The sequence below is a fragment of the Homo sapiens genome, chromosome 8, assembly GCF_000001405.40.
Source record: "Homo sapiens chromosome 8, GRCh38.p14 Primary Assembly".
NCBI lineage: Eukaryota > Metazoa > Chordata > Mammalia > Primates > Hominidae > Homo > Homo sapiens.
The window spans coordinates 8,988,426-9,007,455 of NC_000008.11; the positions used below are offsets into that span (position 1 = coordinate 8,988,426).

Here is a 19,030-nt window from a genome sequence, read left to right on the forward strand (position 1 = left end):
TTCAACGTGCCTGTCTCTTGAATTGCGCTGCTCCGATCCTCACAACTGTCCCCTGGAGCACAGCTGTCATGCTGCGATCTTCCTCCATCATCTTGGGGATTCTCTCTGCCTCTGTCCTGTGTTAGATCTCCTGTTTTATTATGGACATATAAGAGTTGTACACATTTATTGGGTATATGTCATATTTTGTTACAAGGATACAATGTGTAATGATCCAATCAGGATAACTGGGATACCCATCACCTGAAGGATCTGTCATTTCTTTGTGTTAGGAACATTTCAATTTCACTGTTAGATATTTCGAAATATACAGTAAATTGTTGTTAACAACCTTTGAAGATTTTGCGGTATAAGTGTGGTTTGTTCTCAGCTTTCCCCCTGGCAGCTTGGGATTTTGTTTTCTCATATTGTTATGAGAAACAAGTTTGTTAAATCACTTTGCACTGATCCACTGGTTTTGCAGCTTCTAAAATGTCATAGCTGTTGTCTCCTCTCCTATTCTTCTAGTCCTTGTGGGTTTAGGTCTCAAAACAAAACAACTCCTATTTTTATGGGGTTCAAGAGAGAGAAAAATTAAAGGGATATGTTCAATTCACTACATTAGCCTGGAAGTCCAAAACTGCCTACTTCTGTAAGGTCCAGTTCCTCTGGGAAGCATTCTTTTGATTCATCTGCCTTTAGCAGAATTAATCCTGTCCTTCAAAAGATTTTTAGTGTGGTGCACAACACATTGGATTCTAATCCATTTGTTTACATATGCCTCTTCCCCCAGAGAAAATATGAATCCTGAAATGTCAGAATCAAGTTTTACTCTAATTTTATCCATGGCACCCATCATAATACCAATATGTATTTGATAAATGTTTGCTATCTACAGGAATGTGTAATTAGGTTCCAAAAAGGATACTGCTGAACCTTTTCAAAAATTGGACATTTATTCAAATACATGTTATACTGACTAGGAATTTTTAATTCCTCCTTATCAGTTGTCAAACTAAACTAAAACTGAAAGCCGGTGAGCTCCTTCAACAGCATAGAAGCCTGTTTCTTGCACTCCAGATAGAGCAATGTTTCGTTTGAGTACCCTCTGGTGGCATTTGAAGAAACTAACTTATTTTACAGCCTGATATCTGGTTCTGTTGCTATTAAAAAGCTTGATGGAAGACATCCCTCATTTTCTTAATTTTCTCAATTGAACATGCATGACTTTTGCAATCAGAAAAATTGTATAATTTTTTCCAAAACAACTTTATGAGTTTCTGAGACAACAGAAGACGTTAGGAAGCTGAACAAACATACAAATAGAAATTGCACGTATTTTTAAATTAATCTATTTCTAATGCTTGCTTGCTTTTTTTTTTGTTTTCTTTGAGATGGAGTCTGGCTCTGTGGGTCAGGTCGCCCAGGTTGCCCAGGCCGCCCAGGCTGGAGTGCAGTGGCGCAATCTCAGCTCACTGCAACCTCCGTCTCCTGGGTTTCAGCAATTCTCCTTCCTCAGCCTCCCATATACAGGCACGTCTCACCACACCTGGCTAATTTTTGTGTTTTTAGTAGAGACAGGGTTTCACTATGTTGGCCAGGCTTTCCTCAAATTCTGGACCTCAGGTGATCCACCCACCTCGGCTTCCCAAAGTACTGGGATTACAGGCATGAGCCACCACGCCGGCCTGCTTTACCTTGCTTATTTCTCAGTCTGAGTGAGTCAAATTATGATAAGCCTCAAATTAATCATTTATAATTCAAATGGTAAAAAAAAATCTGGAATTCTTCATACTAGAAAGTCCATTTTCTTTTTTATGCCAAAAAAAATTGAGTTTCTTCCACTCAATTTCAAAACAAATCTGAAATTTTTAACATACAGGCTTAAGCATGTTTATTTAAACAAAGACACATAAATATGTGCAAAATGAACTTTGATGGATGACATATTTTTTAAGTTTTTATTTTTGTTTTTTCTTTTCTTTTTTCTGTTTTTTTTTTCTTTTCTTTTTTTGTTTCATTTTGGTTTTCTTTCTTTTTCTTTTCTTTTTTTTGGTGAATTTTTTTTTTTTTTTTTTTTTTTTTTGAGACAGAGTCTCATTCTGTCACCCAGGCTGGAGTGCAGTGGCGTAATCTCGGCTCACTGCAATCTCCACCTCCTGGGTTCAACTGATTCTCCTGCCTCAGTCTCTCAAGTAGCTGGAATTATAGGCATGCACCACCACGTTAGCTAATTTTTGTATTTTTAATAGAAACGGAGTTTCACCTTGTTGGTCAGACTGGTCTTGAGCTCCTGACCTCAGGTGATCCGCCCACCTCAGCCTCCCAAAGTGCTAGGATTACAAGCGTGAGCCACCACGCCAGGCCTTGGTGGATGATATTCTTAATGAAAGGGTCTGGATATGTGTATACCTTCCTATCAGCGGGTTGTGCTTGTCAGCAAGGCTACACATTCTGGTGCTGTGATTAGAGCAGAGGATCCTGTTTGTTTTTGTGATCAAGATTAGATAGGGCATGATTTGTACCAGGTCACACAAATGTTCTTAAACAATCGTGTAATGCTTAGAATGAGACTTGGGGGTTGCCTCCATTAGGGAAAGGGCAAGTATGTTTTATGTGTAGGAAAAACGGTATGTGTGGATATGTGGGGTCACCAGAATTGTGGCAGAGACTGTTAGTGGTCCTAATATTTGATCTTCCCTTCTTCAATAGTGATAGACTTTCAATTGTTCATAAGTAATTGTCCACAGAAACAAGACAACATTTTCACCAGTCTAATTTTGCAACTAATGTGTGGTCCTATAACTAAGTACCAAAGGGCAAGATATAAGCAGAATTAATATGCATGACTTCAGGATGTGAGAAGAAGTTATAGAGAAATACATAGCCTCCCTTTTACTGTTTCTGTCTTTCCATTGGCTGAACGGTGTGTGAAATGGGGAGGTGTCTGGAACATGGGAATGAGGACAGCATACTAGGAATGATAAAGCTACAAGACAGAAAAGCCCTAAGTCCTCGACATCTTTCTATTAACCTCAGAGAGAAATATGTTAACTTCTACCTCACTGAAGCCACATATATTTAAGGCCTATTTTATTCCCAATCAAATTTTAATTGTATTTTTTCCTCTTTATTTTTTGTAGAGATGGAGTCTCACTATGATGTCCGGGCTGGTCTCAAACTCTTGGCTTCAAGTTATCCTCTCGCCTCAGCCTCCCAAAGTGCTGGGATTACAGGTGTGAACCATTGCCACTGGTCTTTTCTTCTTTTTTTCAAATCTTTATCCTAAACAAAAGAAAACATGCCAAGAAAGGAGGCAGATTCCACAAAGGGTGAGATGTAACAAAATCTGGGAGTTTGGGGGGAAAATCCTGGAGGAAGGGAAATTGAATCTCTGACCTAAACAATGAATGAAATTAGCTAACAAAAGTTCTGAAATGGGAACCGGCATGGTGTGTGGAGGTACTAAAAGAAGAATGGAAAGAGAAAAAAGGTAGTTTGTGCTAAATCAGGAGACAAAAATATAACACAGATCATCCTGAAGGCATTAAGGAAGGAAAAGATTTAAAAAAGTCAAAAGTGATGCCCATATTTTTGGCCCAATCAACTGCGTGGATTGTAGAGCTATTTACTGAGAAAAGAAACACCATTCTGGGCATGGTGGTTCACGCCTGTAATCCCAATACCTTGGGAGATCGAAGTGGGAGGATTGCTTCAGTCCAGGAGCTGGAGACCAGCCTGGGCAATATGGCAAAACCCTGCCTCTACTAAAAAATACAAAAATCAGCCGGGTGTGGTGGTGAGCGGTTGTAGTCCCAGCTAGTCGGGAGGCTGAGGTAGGAGGGTCACTTGAGCAATCATTGCGCTACTGCACTTCCAGCCTGGGCGACAGAGGGACATCCTGCCTCAAACAAACAAACAAAAAAAAACAAAAAGAAAAAAGAAAAACAGAAACACTAGAGAAGTGGCTGGTTTGGGGAGGAAGATGATGATTTCACCTTGGATATGTCAAGTTTGTGGTGTTTGTGAATAGGCAAGTCGTTATGTGGCTCTGGTGCTCTGAGTTAAGATCGTGGGTAGAAACAGGTTTTGGAGTCATTGGCTACTGGATGGTAAATAAAGCTAGATGAATGCATAGAATACCTAGAGCAAGAATCTATACTTTGAAAAGAATATAAAAGTTATGAACAGGGCCTAAGATCCAAGTCCTGAAGGAATTCCGGAATTAAATGATTGGATATAAGAGGGGGAACTGATCAGGGAGATTGAGAAGAAATGGCCAGAGAAAAAGGAAGGAAGCAGGCGAGTGTGCTGTCATGGAGACCAAAGGAAAAGAGTGTTGCAGTAAATAAAGAATAGTCAGCCGGGCGTGGTGGCTCACGCCTGTAACCCAAGCACTTTGGGAGGCTGAGGTGGGCGGTTCACGAGGTCAGGAGATGGAGACCATCCTGGCTAACTAGGTGAAACCCCGTCTCTACTAAAAAATACAAAAAATTAGCCAGGCGTGGTGGTGGGCGCCTGTAGTCCGAGCTACTTGGGAGGCTGAGGCAGGAGAATAGCGTGAACCCGGGAGGCGGAGCTTGCAGTGAGCCGAGATAGCGCCACTGCACTCCAGCCTGGGCGACAGAGCAAGACTCCGTCTCAAAAAACAAAAACAAACAAAGAAAGTTAGCAACGCTGGATGCTGTTGAAGGATCAAGTCAGATGAGCTTTGATAAGAGGCTACTGGGTTCAACCACACGGGGATAACTAGTGACCTCAGTGGAGAAGTAGATGTCAGTGGACCATGGGGGTGGAAGAGAAATTAGGGTAGGTTGAATAGTGGGTAGATGTGTGAAAAAAGCGACAATTCTTTCAAGAAGTTTAGCACCAAAGGGGGCGGGAGAAAAGATAGTGCGGCAGCCATAGGAATTCTGAGGTTGAAGGAGGTGTTTTGTTTGGCTGGAGGGCTATTTAAGTTGGAAAATTTTGAGTCAAGCTCATTTAAATGCCAAAGGGAAAGGTCTACTGATGAGGAAAACACTGAAGATACAGAACAGAGATTGGATAATACAAAATTCAAGATTGCTGGGAAGGTAGGAGAGGAGGGGAATTGAGGGAGCGAGTGGTGGTATCAAACCAGAAAATGAAGGTGGGAGGGAGGAGTGGCTGAAAGGGGCGGGGCTAGGACTCAGGTGGGGCGGGGCTAGGACTCAGGTGAGGCGTCGGAGGCACTCACTTTAGGCACAAAATTTAAGGAGGCATCCCCCCAAAATCAGTAATTAAGATAAACACTTTAGTGTAATTTTTTTTTTTGAGACAGCATCTTGCTCTGTCGCCCAGGCTGGAGTGCAGGGGTGCGATCTCAGCTCACTGCAACGTCTGCCTCCCAGGTTCAAGCGATTCTTGTGCCTCAGTCTCCCAAGTAGCTGGGATTACAAGCATGCTCCACCATGCCAGCTAATTTTTGTATTTTTAGTAGAGAAGGAATTTCGCCATCTTGGCCAGGCTGGTCCGAAACCCCTGGCCTTTAGCGATCCTCCCGCCTCGGCCTCCCAAAGTGCTAGGATTACAGGCATCAATCTCTTAGTACATCAAAATTAATGTAAGAAATGTATGATGAACAAAAATCAACATAATAAACAAAGACACGACCAGATGTGAGCATGTAGACTTGGCAGTAAAAAGCTAAAACTGTTTTCTTTGTGAAGCAGGAGGCAAGGTTGTCTGGTGAGAGTACATGGGAAAGGAGATGGAAGGTTGGAGGTGAGAGCAAAGAAGGTTTGCTGCAGAAGTTGTGGAGAGAGGGAAGACAAGACAAGGAGAGAAATATGACGGCTGCCAAGGAGGATTAGCACCCAGGTGGAGCAGGTGGTCATTAATTCTTCACATCACTGATCTGGCCATTGTATGATCTCTAAGGCCTCTCTCAGAACTCAGAGAAAGCATGAAGAAGGAAAATAGATTTATGATCATGGCGGGTTTTCGCAGGGAAAAAGGTTGGGATGTTGGCAAGGGATTTATGATAGTGAACCACAGAAGCTATGAGAAGTTATGATAAGGGGCTGTTGAAACTAAGCCAGCGAGGTAATAAGCCAAAACATGAGAAATAAACTAAATCAAATGTGAAATGATAGCTCTGCAATAGAATGTAAATGCCAAATGTAATGGGGTGAGTTGTGTCCCCCTAAATTTATGTGTTGAAGACCTAACCCCCAGTACCTCAGAATGTACCCATATTTAGAGTGAGAAATAAAAATAAAATCCTAAATCCCCTAAGGCCACGTGTGGCAGCTCACACCTGTGATCTTAGCACTTTCGGAGGCCAAGGCAGGCGGATCACCTGAGGTCAGGCATTTGAGACCAGCCTGGGCAACATGGCCAAACCTACCTCTACTAAAAATACAAAAAAAATTACCTAGGCTTGGTGGTACACACCTGTAATCCCAGCTACTCAGGAGGCAGAGGCAGGAGAATTGTTTGAACCCGGGAGGTGAAGGTTGCTGTGAGCCAAGATTGTGCAACTGCACTCCAGCCTGGGTGACAAAGTGAGGCTCTGTCTCAAAAAAAAATAAAATAAAAATAAAAAAAAAATTCCTAAACCCCCCAAACTTCTGAATGGACCCCATTCCAGCCAAGAAGACCCCAGAGAAACCTTAAAACAGAGTTCCAGGTCATCTCAGGACAGGAGGTCAGACATGCCTCAGTCTGCCCCTTCCTTATTAACCTTTAACCAGAATCTTTCCTAAGAAGTAAACAGGAATCAGCTGTGGAAGACAAGAGCCGATGACTTACTCTATTATCACTATTAGCCAATTGTCTGAGGCCATGACGAGACTTCCCTTCCCTCTTTACAGTTTCGACATGACAGCTCGCCAGTTTCACAATGCATACCTTCCTTATCAGAGACCGTTGATGATGGAGATGCTCTGGCCAGTCTATAGAGAATGCACAGAGGATTTTCGGTCCTCTGCTTCACCTTCTGATGTCAGAAGGCTGAAAACTCCACACTCAGATTATGCTAATGCTGCCATTTGTGTACATGTGACCCATGAAGAGGTATGAAGCTCAAGTGCACATGCATGCTTCTCCTTTCATAAACATTAATGATTCCTCCTATTACTTATTAAATATGTATATTTGGCCACTATGCTCAGCATACATTCCTGTCTTATGCTTCCTTCCCTTAAGGTGCCTATTTCTGGCTTCTGGCTGGAGGCTACACTTCCCAGCCTATCAGAATGGCAGCCTGCAAGGATGCATAACCCCAACCCTTTATGAGAAATAAAGCTCTCTTTTCTATACTTATGAACCTTGTCATTCTTCAGTTGGCAGGAGATTAGGTCTTTAAAGAAGTGATTAAATTAAAATGAGGTGGCCGGCATGGTGGTTCACGCCTGTAATCCCAGCACTTTGGGATGCCAAGGCAGGTGGATCACCTGAGGTCAGGAGTTCAAGACCAGCCTAGCCAACATGGTGAAACCCCATCTCTACTAAAAATACAAAAAATTATGTTTTTTATTATAGAAAAAAAGGAGAATCCTCACCTAGATCTATTACAATGAAATTTAAGAACATCAATGACAAAAAGAAAATTTGCAGACTCCAGAGAGAAAGAACAGATTATCCATAGACGAGCAAGAATCATATCAACATTACACTTTTCAAATAAACATAGGATACAGGAAGAAAATAATGTTTTTAAATGACTGAAGGAAAAGACTTTGTAACTTGCAGAAACCATTAAACTAAATAGAAAAGCTTTATACACATTTCCCATGAAATCAGCACAGCACCATTACTATTAATATATTACAAAGACTCCTGGCCAATGCAATAAGAAAAGAAAGAGATATAAGGGGTATAAGGAAGGGCAGGGCTAAAACTGATTATTTGCAGAATTTGATAATTTTAGAAAAAAAGCAACAGAATAATAAAACTATTAAAATTTACAAGAAAGTTTAGAAATTATCCAGAATGTTCTGGGGATTAATAAAAAAAGAATGTTTAGAAATTAAAAACCATCAGGAGTTTGAGACCAGCCTGGCCAACATGGTGAAACCCTGTATCTACTAAAAATACAAAAATTAGCTGGGCATGGTGGTGCACACCTGTAATCCCAGTTACTTGGGAGGCTGAGGTGGGAGAATAGCTTGAACCTGGGAGGAGGAGGTTGCAGTGAGCCGAGATTGTGCCACTGCACTCCAGCCTGGGCAACAGAGCAAGACTCCATCTCAAAAAAAAAAAAAAAAAAAAAGAAGAAGAAGAAAAAGAAAAAGAAAGAAATTAAAAACCAATTTTTTGTCTTCAAAATTTTAATTTCTTTTTCATCAAAAGCAAGGTTACATAGAGTGAAATGCGTAGATCTTACATGCATAATTCAATGTGTTTTGATAAATATATACATCACATAATCACTATCCCAATTAACACATAGAATATTTCCAGGACCTGGAAACTTCCCTTGTGTACCATTCAAGTTAATCCTCAACCCCTAATCCCAAGCTGAAGCAGTCACTATTGTGAATTTCTATTATCATAGATTAGTTTGGCCTATTCTTGAACTTCATATAAGTGGAATTAGAGTATGTCTTCTTTTGCATCTGGCTTCTTTCACTCAAGATTTTTCCAAATTCATCCATACTATTGCATGTATCAATAGTTTATTATTGACTGGGCACGGTAGCTCACACCTGTAATCCTAGCACTTTGGGAGGCTGGGCCAGGTGGATCATTTGAGCTCAGGAGTGCAAGACCACCCTGGGCAACATGGTGAAACCCTGTCTCTACAAAAAATACAAAAATTAGCTGGACATGGTGGCATGTACCTGTAGTCCCAGCTACTTGAGTGGCTGAGGTGGGAGGATCACCTGAGTCCCAGAGGTCAAGGCAGCCACCATCCTGCCATTGCATTCCAGCCTGTGTGACAGAATGAGGTTTTGTTTCTGAAAAAAAAAAAAAAAAAAAAAGGCTTATTATTATATGAGGAGTATTATGCCATTACAGGGATACATCACATTCTGGTTATCCATTCACTTGTTGATGGAGATTTGAGTTAATTTCATTTATCAGTTATTTTGAAAAATGCTGCTGGAAATATCCACGTCCAAGCCACCACCTGGACATTCACTTTCACTCCTCCTGAGTGAATACCTAGGACTGGAATTGCTGGGTGATAGGGCCAATGTATTATGTTTATTTAATTAATTCATTTATTTATTCATTTTTGAGATGGAGTGTCTCTCTGTCACCCAGGCTGGAGTGCACTGGCACTATCTAGCATCACTGCAACCACCGCCTCCCAGGTTCAAGCGATTCTCCTGCCTTAGCCTCCCGAGTAGCTTGGACTCCAGGTGTGCACCACCAAGCCTGGCTAATTTTTGTATTTTTAGTAGAGACAGGGTTTCACCATGTTGGCCAGGCTGGTCTCGAACTCCTAACCTCAGGTGATCCACCCTCCTCAGCCTCCCAAAGCACTGGGATTACAGGTGTGAGCCACTGCGCCTGGCTCTTTGTTTCTAATCTGGTTGTCTTTTATTTCTTTGCTTTTGTTTATTTAACTTAAAAATCAATAATATTTTATGTAATGGTATAAAATAATTTACCATTCATAATGGGAAAAAACTCATAATGTATCTAGGATTTCTTGGTTACGAATGTACAAGATATCTATGGAGAAAATTGTGAAATGTTAAAGATCATCATAAAAGACAATCTGAATTAGCAGTTCTATATTACAAGAGGATAAATTAATATGTCATTTCTCCTCAAATCAATCGAGTGAATTCAATCTTAATGAATTTTTTGGATTGGATTGGATTGGATTTTTTGAAGAGCAAAAAATTTGTCCTAAAGTATACATGAAAGATTAAATATCCACAAATAGCTAAGTCAGTATTGAAAAAGAAGAGTAAAGAGGAGGAACTTGTTTTATAAGATATGAAGACATATTGCAGAGCTGAGTAATAGAAAGCAGTGTGGGAAGGGTATAAGAACAGATACCAGAGACCAAGAGAACAGAGCAGGTTGCTCAAATACAGACCTAAACATATGGAATTATCTAACACGTGGCATCAGGCAGCAATGGGAGACGGCTTAGAAACAAAAGGCATTTTGCTATGTGAAAGTCACATATTTAGTGCAGCCTAGAGTAATTTACTAACCCTGCTGTCTAACAATACATTGATCTTCACTGACAGCTGACTAATCCCAGGACACTGAAGCTAGAGGAAGGGTAGGTACATTTTTCCACTGGGGTGAATAGAGAATAACCAATTCTCGAACTTCTCTTTTAGACTGTTGCATAGCTGAAATACTCAGGGAAGCTTTCTCTTTAACTGTTCAACTATGGCACACATTTTATTTTAAACAGGAGGTGCTAAAGTCATTGGGATTTCCCCTTTGGTGTTATGTGGCAAGTTACAGCAGAGTCAACATTTAAAAACATCGGCCAGGCAAGGTGGCTCATGCCTGTAATCCCAGCACTTTGGGAGGCCAAGGCGGGTAGGTCACCTGAGATCAGGAGTTTGAGAGTTTCGCTTGGCCAACATGGTGAAATCCCACCTCTACTAAAAATACAAAAATTACCCAGGTGTGGTGGCAGGCGCCTGTAATCCCAGCTACTTGGGAGGCTGAGGCATGAGAATCTCTTGAACCCAGGAGGCTGAGGTTGCAGTGAGCCAAGATAGCGCCATTGCACTCCAGCCTGGGCTACAGAGCGAGACTCTGTCTCAAAAAATAAATAAATAAATAAATAAATAAAAACATTTAGGTCTCCTGCATACTGATGTCACACAGTCATAAGAAAGTACTGAACACAGTGATATTTCTTAAACATTTTGGGTACACTCCCAGCTCAGGATCTTTTCACTTGTTTACTCTGCCTAAACTTCTCTTCTCCCATATATACTCAGTTTACTCCCTTGCCTCTTCAAGTCTTTACACAAATGGCACATCATTAGAGAGGTCTTCCCTAACGATTCTATTTAAAATTGTAACCCCCTCCATACCTGGGCACCCTCCCATTCCCTTTTCCTGTTTTACTTTTCTCCATACTATAAGCATTTTACTTATTTCTTTTGTTGATTGCCTGTCTTTCTTTTTCTTTCCTTCCCTCCCTCCCTCCTTCCCTTCCTTCCTTCCTTCTGTAGAGATGAGGTTTCACCATGTGGCCAGGTTGGTCCTGAGCTTAAGTGGTCCTCGCACCTCAGCCTGGCAAACTGCTGGGATTACAGGTGTGGGCCATCACGCCTGGCCTTACAGTAAATTCTTGATAAACAACCCAGCAACTGCCTCTTTCCTTTAAAAATTCACTTGTAGCTTCTACTGATCTGAGTATACCCAGGGCAACTTGAATCTACAATTGCAATCCTCAAACTTGGCCCAGATAAACTCTACTTATATTAATTTTGCCTCATCTTCCTTTTCGGTTATTTCATGCATGTTTCACTTTGTTCAACCTTTAATAGCTCAAACCAGAGTCTAAAGACAAAAAAAGTTACTGCACGATAGTAATTTTCATGTAGCTATTTTCATCTAGCTTGTATTTTTTTTTTTTTTTTTTTTTTACTATTTTTTGACTGACTTCGACTATTTTCACCTAGCTAGGATTTTTCAGAAGGGACATTCTTTAACTGTGTCTCACAATCCAATTTCCTCAGAGAAACTTCTTGGAGTTTCCCCAGCACAGCTGCTCATCATAGGCTTCATGGACAAAAGCCTCACTACTTATTAGAGTATCTTCTTCTGGGTCTTTTTATTTATGGCAGGTCTAATTTCTTGATGCTGCTGCACTAGTTCTAGAAGTCAAAGAAACAAAGTCAAAAGAGTTGTTTCTTGAGATAGAAGCTGAGATGGAGGTATGTATGGTTAGAAAGGGCTACTTAACCCCATCAAAGATTATTGTTATTGGAATTATGCCCTATCTCAATTGCCTATTTAACAAAGCAAATAATCTAGAATGGGCAAGACTTAAGACAATTATGATTGGTTACTAAGTGTTCACTTAACTTCCAAACTGGCATATCTTCTGAGTAGATGGATTCAGCACAACTTCAATTCTATGCTCCTGGGTTGCAATCCTCAAACTTGGACCAAATAAACTCTCTAGTTATATTAATTTTGCCTCAGCTTCTACCTTTTAGGTCAATAGTATTAAGCCTCTTCAAGTGGTCCTGAAGTATTAAGCCTCTTTAAGTGGTTACTGAAGCTGTATTCATCTTTTTTCTGTGTGTGTGTGTGTCATTTTGTATTGTTTCTGTTGCTATATCTTTGAATTTATTTACCTTTTTCTCTGCATTGCTTAATGCGCTAGCAATCCCATCCAAAGAAATTTTTATTTCAAATATTTTTCACCTCCATCCAGAAATTTGATTTTTCAAAAATCTTTCCAGTTTCTCTCCTATCATGTCTTCCTTTAAATCTTTGAGCATATTCATAACAGGTGTTTAAAATCCTTGTCTGTTAATTCCATCATTTTTATCATTTTGGGGTTTGTTTCTATGAACTTCGTGAGATATTTTCTTACCACTTGGTCTCTCTCTCTCTCTTTTGAGACAGAGTCTTACCCTGTCACCCAGGCTGGGTTGTGGTGGTGCAATCATAGGTCACTGCAGCCTCAAACTCCTGGGCTCAAGCAATCCTCCCGCCTCAGCATCCCCAAGTGCTGCGTGTCTTTCAATTTTTGACTGGATGTCTCACATTTTGAATTTAATGTTGTTGAATCCTGGATTTTACTGTAGTCTTTCAGAGAGTTTTAGAATTTGTTCTTACAGGTAATTAGGTTACTTACAGAGCAGTTTGATCCTTTCAGGGCTTGTTTTAAGGCTTTTGAAGAATCTACAGTAGTTTATGTTCTGGGTCCTGCAGTCTACGGTTATTATATCTCACTAAGGCATGACACTTTCGTAACCACCCAAAAGGTTCATCTTGCCTACTGCCTAGACAGAGTCGATTTATCAAGACAGGGGAATTGCAATAAAGAGCAATTCATGCAGAGCTGGCAGTGCAGGAGACCTGAGTTTTATTAATCAAATCAGTCTCCCTGAGCATTTGGGGATCAGAGTTTTTAAGGATAATTGGGTGGGTGAGAAGCCAGTGAGATGGGAGTGGTGACTGGTTGGGTAGGAGATGAAATCATAGGGAGTCGATGCTGTCCTCTTGCACTGAGTCAGTTCCTCCCGTGGGGGACACAAAATCAGATGAGCTAGTTTATCCAAGATCAGGTGAGTCAGTTTATCAATCTGGGAGGTGCCAGCTGATCCATCAAGTGCAGGGCCTGCAAAATATCTCAAGCACTGATCTTAGATTTTACAATAGTGATATTATCCCCAGGAGCAATTTGGAGAGGGTTAGAATCTTGTAGCCTTCAGCTGCATGAGTCCTAAATCATAATTTCTAATCTTTCGGCTAATTTACTAGTCCTACAAAAGCAGTCTAGTCTCAAGAAGAGGGTTTATTTTGAGAAAGGGCTATCACCTTTGTTTTAAACTATAAGCTATACACTAAGTTCCTCCCAGTGTTAGTTTGGCCTACGCCTAGGAATGAATAAGGATAGCCTGGAGGTTAAAAGCAAGATGGAGTTGGTTAGGTCTGATCTCTTTCACTGTCTCAATGATAATTTTGCAATGGCAGTTTCACATCTGAGGTTTCTATTGCGTGTTCCATGGTATTCAATAATCTCTTCACTCTGGTTGCTGGGAGCTCAAATGATTCCCAGTTCTGTGTGACCTCTCACCATTGTTTGGTGTACTGCTCCCCAGTAATTGTTCTTTCCTGGCCTTGTGGAGTTTCACGTTTTTTATTCAGTTAAAGATTCAAGGTACTCCTAAGCAGATTTCTGAAGCTCTTTTTCCATGTAATTCCCTCCTCTCCAGAATTCTGCCCTACAAATTCCAACCGACTTGGCCTACCCCAATTTCGTCAACTCCAATCTCTGTCTTTTCAACCCAGGAGATCCTAGGTTTCCATATGATTTCCTTTCATCGCACCACAGACTGGAAATCGCCTCTGGGCAAAAGGGCAGGATGATATACGGCTCCTTTTATTTCTTTTCTCTCAGGTAAAACAGTCCACAGCTGTCCGTTGTCCAATGTCTGAATAGGTGTCTCCTATATTTTGTTCCGTTTTCTAATTGTTTATAGTGGGACACTAAGTCCCGACCCATTTTCTTTTCTTGCCCAGAGTGGAAGTTTTAGGAAACTCCTTATGGAAAATGTGAATTGTTTTATTATTTTTTATGGTCGAAAACATCTTTCTCTATGATATCTTCCCACTCACCCTACTTTTTTCCTTCTCAGGAAACACTGACGGGAACACACGTGCCGGTGCTACCCTCCAGTGACTGGACTAGATCCTTGCGCAACTTCAACCCGCGCTAGCTCCGCCTACGGCCGGCCACGCCCCGTCTTCTCACCGGCGCGCCTCCCTCTTGTTCGTCCTCCCTCCCCCTGTGGACTGCGGCGCTGGCGTTCCGCGCACGCCGGCTCACTGCGCCTGCCCGGCGTGTGGACGCCACACGCTCCCGGAAGTGGGAGGTGGCCGCTGGAGTTTGTGTGGCCGCCGCCGCGGGAACGCGAGCCCGGTAATTTTTCAACGGAGAAAGGCGAGGCTTTCGGGCTCTGCAGAGTGAGAGTTAGCAAGTGTCCGGCTCCAGCAACTCTCCTCTGGCGTGACAGCCGGCATGGAGGATCCACAGAGTAAAGAGCCTGCCGGCGAGGCCGTGGCTCTCGCGCTGCTGGAGTCGCCGCGGCCGGAGGGCGGGGAGGAGCCGCCGCGTCCCAGTCCCGAGGTGAGGAGTCGACCCGCGCCTGGCTGTTGGCGCCAGCTGCCCCGTCCCCAAAGCGCCCTCGGCACCCCTTTCTTCTCAGGTGTCCCGCAGAAGGTGCAGCTGTGCGCCCTTGGACCCCAGCCTCTTCCTCGGTGCCCAGCTCCCTGGCTTTATCCTCGGGTGGGTGTCTTGGAGCCCCCTCAGGGCCGAATCACTCTCTGGGAGGGAGGAAATCGTCAAGACCAGTTCTGTCTACAGTGGGTTAACAGGTTCTAAGAGGGAGTTTTGCTTTAAACTTAATTCTGTGTTCACGGTTGCTGTTGTCACTCCATGTAGCCGTTATGGGTAGTTTGCAAGGCTTTATGTTTTTAAAATCTCACCATATACGCTAGGTATGTCACTTCATGCCTGTTTTTAAAAAAAGAAAAAATTTAAAAAGCACTCACCAGCATCCCTGTCTCTGTACCTGTTAAGTGGAGCTTCGTCTTAGCTGCTTTTGCTCATTAACTGGTGTCTCATATAACCATAGTATAAGATTGAATGAATCATTTTGACATCTCATCGGTTGAACTTAGTTACAGTGGCAAAGTTGTAGAACAGTCTTAAAACTTATTTAACGAATGTTAATTGTTGACTAGCGCTGCGGATTGTAAGTGATTGAATACTAAAATTGATCTTTTCCTAATAATAAACATGTTGAACACTTCGTAAAGCTTCATAAAGTGCGTATTTGCAAGAGGCCTCCTAACTCTTGCTCCTTCCGTCCACAGTCAGTTTCCATCTGGCAGCTAGAATGAGCTTTTCAATAACATGAATTTGGCTTATTCCCCTCCTGAGTCACTTCCATTTGCTGCTCTGCGGGGTCGGGTGCCTGCCTCCCTTGGTAATTGCATCTCACACAGTTTTTTCCCTTTTGTTCCCAGTGCCCCTCGCTGCCTTGTGTTCTTTGACATTGGAAAGAAGGTCTCGTTAAGGATCTCTGTATGTTCCTTTTGCCCTGTGTGCACTTCCTTTGGATCCTTGCAATTATCTTTCTCCTTCTAAGGTTGTTATTTCAAAGAGTACTTGCACATCCCTTCTCTTGTAAAGAACCACTCTTCCACCTGCCTCCCTCTTCAGCCTGAGATACGTTGTCAATCTCATCCTGTAAGTGGGTTTTAAAATAAATTTCGAAGTTTATTTTTAGTAAAAGAAGTGTGTTTGAATATGCTTCTTTATATTTGAAAGTCTTGACACTTTTACAGCTACTTAAGGCCTAGGTCTCTGTTCCAAATTGGCTTTAGTGACGGTAGTAATTGTTAAAAACTTACTGTTGCATGCTCTTTATAGTGATACTTTTTTTTTTTTTTTTTTTTTTTTTTACAAAAAGCCGGTCGTAGTTGCCCTCTCCCGTAGTCCCAGCTACTGGGGAGGCTCAGTGGGGAGGATCACCTGAGCCCATGGGTGGAGGCTGCAGTGAGCTGTGATCGTGCCACTGCACTCCAACCTGGGTGACAGAGTGAGACCCTGTCTCAAAAAATAATAGTAATGATACTTTTTTTTTTTTTTTTTTGGAGACGGAGTTTCGTTCTTGTTGCCCAGTCTGGAGTGCAATGGCATGGTCTCAGCTTACTGCAACCTCCCGCCTCCCGGATTCAAGTGATTCTCGTGCCTCAGCCTCCCTAGTAGCTGGGATTACAGGAACCCACCACCACGCTTGGCTAGTTTTTGTATTTTTAGTAGAGATGGGGTTTCACCATGTTGGCCATGCTGGTCTGGAACTCCTGACCTCAGGTGATCCGCCCACCTCGGCCTCCCAAAGTGCTGGGATTACAGGCAATGAGCCACTGCGCCTGGCCATGATACAGTGTTTTTCAATCTGGGCCAAAGTTTTTTGTTGAATTCAGGTGGTAAATTTCCATTATCTCTAATGCTAGTTGTCTTTGTAAACTAGTAGAAGCTATTGCATATTTATATTTTTAATAAGTAGGTTCAGATTTCATCAGAACTCTCCTTTTGGAAGAACGTCAATCAAGAAAAATTCTAAGTTTTTTTTCAGTGTGCAGATGCAGAGGTTTTCCTTTTCTTTTTTTAAAAGGTAGTACCTAGATTTTTGGCAGCAGAATAATAGCATTTCCAGAACATGTTTTCAAAATGTTCTCTATACAGAAAAAGTTTTATTTGACAAGCAGTTACTTTGTAGCTTACTGTTAAAATGTGTTTTCTTTTTTCTTGCAACAACAGATTGTGTTCCTTTAAAAAAATGCTAAAAATCAAGCTCCGGTACCCTTCCCAATAAGAAGAGGACAGCAATTATAGAATACCTGTCTTTTTGTAAAAGAAAATTTGTAACTCATCTTTAAGTTCAACAACAGTTTTTTTATGTTTTTTTTTTTTTTTTTTGAGAGGGAGTCTCTCTCTGTTGCCCAGGCTGGAGTGCAGCGGCTCAGTCTCGGCTCGCTGCAAGCTCCGCCTCACGGGTTCACGCCATTCTCCTGCCTCAGCCTCCTGAGTAGCTGGGACTACAGGCGCCCGCCCGGCTAATTTTTTGTATTTTTAGTAGAGACGGGGTTTCACCGTGGTCTCTATCTCCTGACCTCGTTATCCGCCCGCCTCGGCCTCCCAAAGTGCTGGGATTACAGGCGTGAGCCAACGCGCCCGGCCTCAACGACAGTTTTAAAGTAGTTTGCCACAAGATAGTAAACCTCTGTTTGGTATAGAAGATTTTCATGGCCACATCCCATAATGTAAAAGCTTCTCTTATTTGAGATAATATAAACCATACATCCACTTAATTGAATACGTGAATATTGCAAAATGTTACAGTTCTGTGATGGTGAATGTTTCTCTCCATATTGTGGAATCTATCACTTTTCTCATTATATGGTCCGTATTATATGTGACATGTGATAGGTGGATGTAGTTACTGGTACGGATGCTGATGCAAATGTAAGTATGTATTTCGTAAACTAATTTTGTCTTTCTGCAGATTAACAATACAAGTAGGGTTTTTAGTATTTTCTTTCTGCTCCTTGGCAGATTGATTTGAGCATCCTTCTTTGTGAACCATTAGTGTAGATTTGAAATTTGGGAGGAGACACTGCTTTCTGAGGATTGGACCTCGGCTGTCTCTAGAACTTCACTGAAGGAAGAGAACTAGAGCTGGACCTAGGAAAGGAAGCAAATTTTTCTTTATGGAAGTCATAATTTATAGCATCTATAGAAGAGGCCTAAGTGTTACTTGTGAATAATTTTTCTAGCTACAGTTTAGGATGAGAATTAACCAGTGAATCAGAAAGAGGATTTATCCAAAGAGAAAATCTGCTTAAATTAACTGAGACATCTGTTTTGGTAGACAAACTGTTACTTAATGTTGACCTAAATTTTAACCTGAAATTTACTAAATGATGACTAAAGATGAAGTTTCAAATTCAATGTAAATTTAAAGTCAAAAGATAATTTTTTGTAAAATTCTGGTCAAGCAGAGCAATATCTATTGTAAATCTAATATATTGTTGAAAGTGAATCATTGGTCAACTAGCAATACTTTTTTTTTCCTTAACATTGTTAACAAGGAACCTCAGTGTGGCTGTTCTTTAATTTATGGACAGTTCACACATTGGAACTGCTGACCTCTTCCTCAAAGGAAATGGGTGAGTCACTCTTGAGTACTCTGGCACCTTACCTAGCATTACATTTCCAGTAAATGTGTGTTGCATTAAATTGAGAGCTTAGAGTAAGAAATGGTTCCTGAACCATCAGGATCAGTTCTGAGTTAGGGACTGTGGCCTCTCTGTGATTATCCTTCCTTGATCTATAATTACAGTTTACGTGAGGACAATGTGGTACATTATAACTAAGGTAACAAGCTTTAATAGGGATAATTAGTACTAAATATTTTTCAAAATTATGGAACATAGCTAATATTTGTGATATTGCATGTGGAAAATAACTTACAAATGAATCTTTGGAACTTAACATATTAGTAATTTGAGACTGCCTGTGGAGAAAATAGAATTGAGTCATGTTTTTTCTTAACAGATTTTTATTTATGAAAAAATTCATAATTCTATAGTTCTTCTGGTTAGTGGACCTAAGTACAACTTTTGGAAAATGTAAGTTTTGAAATTAAATACATTTCCTTCTTTGAGTACTAGGAAGCTGTAAATTAGATTTGCGGTCCATTTTGTTTTTATGTTGGGCAATTTTTGTTAACTTTGTGAAATGAAGTCAGGTTAAAAAATTATCAGAAGTTATTACACATGTATAATGTAAAAGTTCATTTAAAAATGGGTTCATTTGTAAATATTAGCATATTGTTTGTGA

At 41.2% G+C, this 19,030-nt stretch overlaps 1 protein-coding gene and 1 long non-coding RNA gene across 9 annotated transcripts in view, besides 1 other annotated feature; one reads left to right on the plus strand and one right to left on the minus strand.

The window, feature by feature from the left end:
- Positions 1–56: 56 nt before the first annotated feature.
- LOC105379227 (uncharacterized) lies at positions 57–14,317 on the minus strand. The gene is made up of 3 exons (XR_002956680.2): positions 14,236–14,317; positions 8,787–8,903; positions 57–130 (listed from the first exon to the last, which is right to left on the minus strand). It is a non-coding gene; the product is annotated as an uncharacterized LOC105379227 (long non-coding RNA).
- Positions 10,285–10,344: an enhancer, noted in NCBI's record as "active region_26980". NCBI's record gives its function as "activates an Ori minimal core promoter by ATAC-STARR-seq in GM12878 lymphoblastoid cells {active_cell/tissue: GM12878}" and the evidence as "EXISTENCE:reporter gene assay evidence [ECO:0000049][PMID:35858748]".
- A 154-nt stretch (positions 14,318–14,471) lies between the features above and the next one.
- The window catches only part of ERI1 (exoribonuclease 1), a 97,208-nt gene continuing 92,649 nt past the window's right edge, over positions 14,472–19,030 (plus strand). For 4 of the 8 annotated variants that reach the window (NM_001354638.2, XM_047422402.1, NM_153332.4 and 1 more), the window contains exon 1: positions 14,472–14,746. In NM_001354638.2, the coding sequence (NP_001341567.1) occupies positions 14,639–14,746 (108 nt within the window). In that variant the 5' untranslated portion in view covers positions 14,472–14,638. Of the gene's footprint in view, positions 14,906–15,648; positions 15,872–18,437; positions 18,820–19,030 lie in introns of those variants that run through there. The other 4 variants (XM_005272401.4, NM_001354636.2, NM_001354635.2 and 1 more) reach the window with 4 other exon arrangements.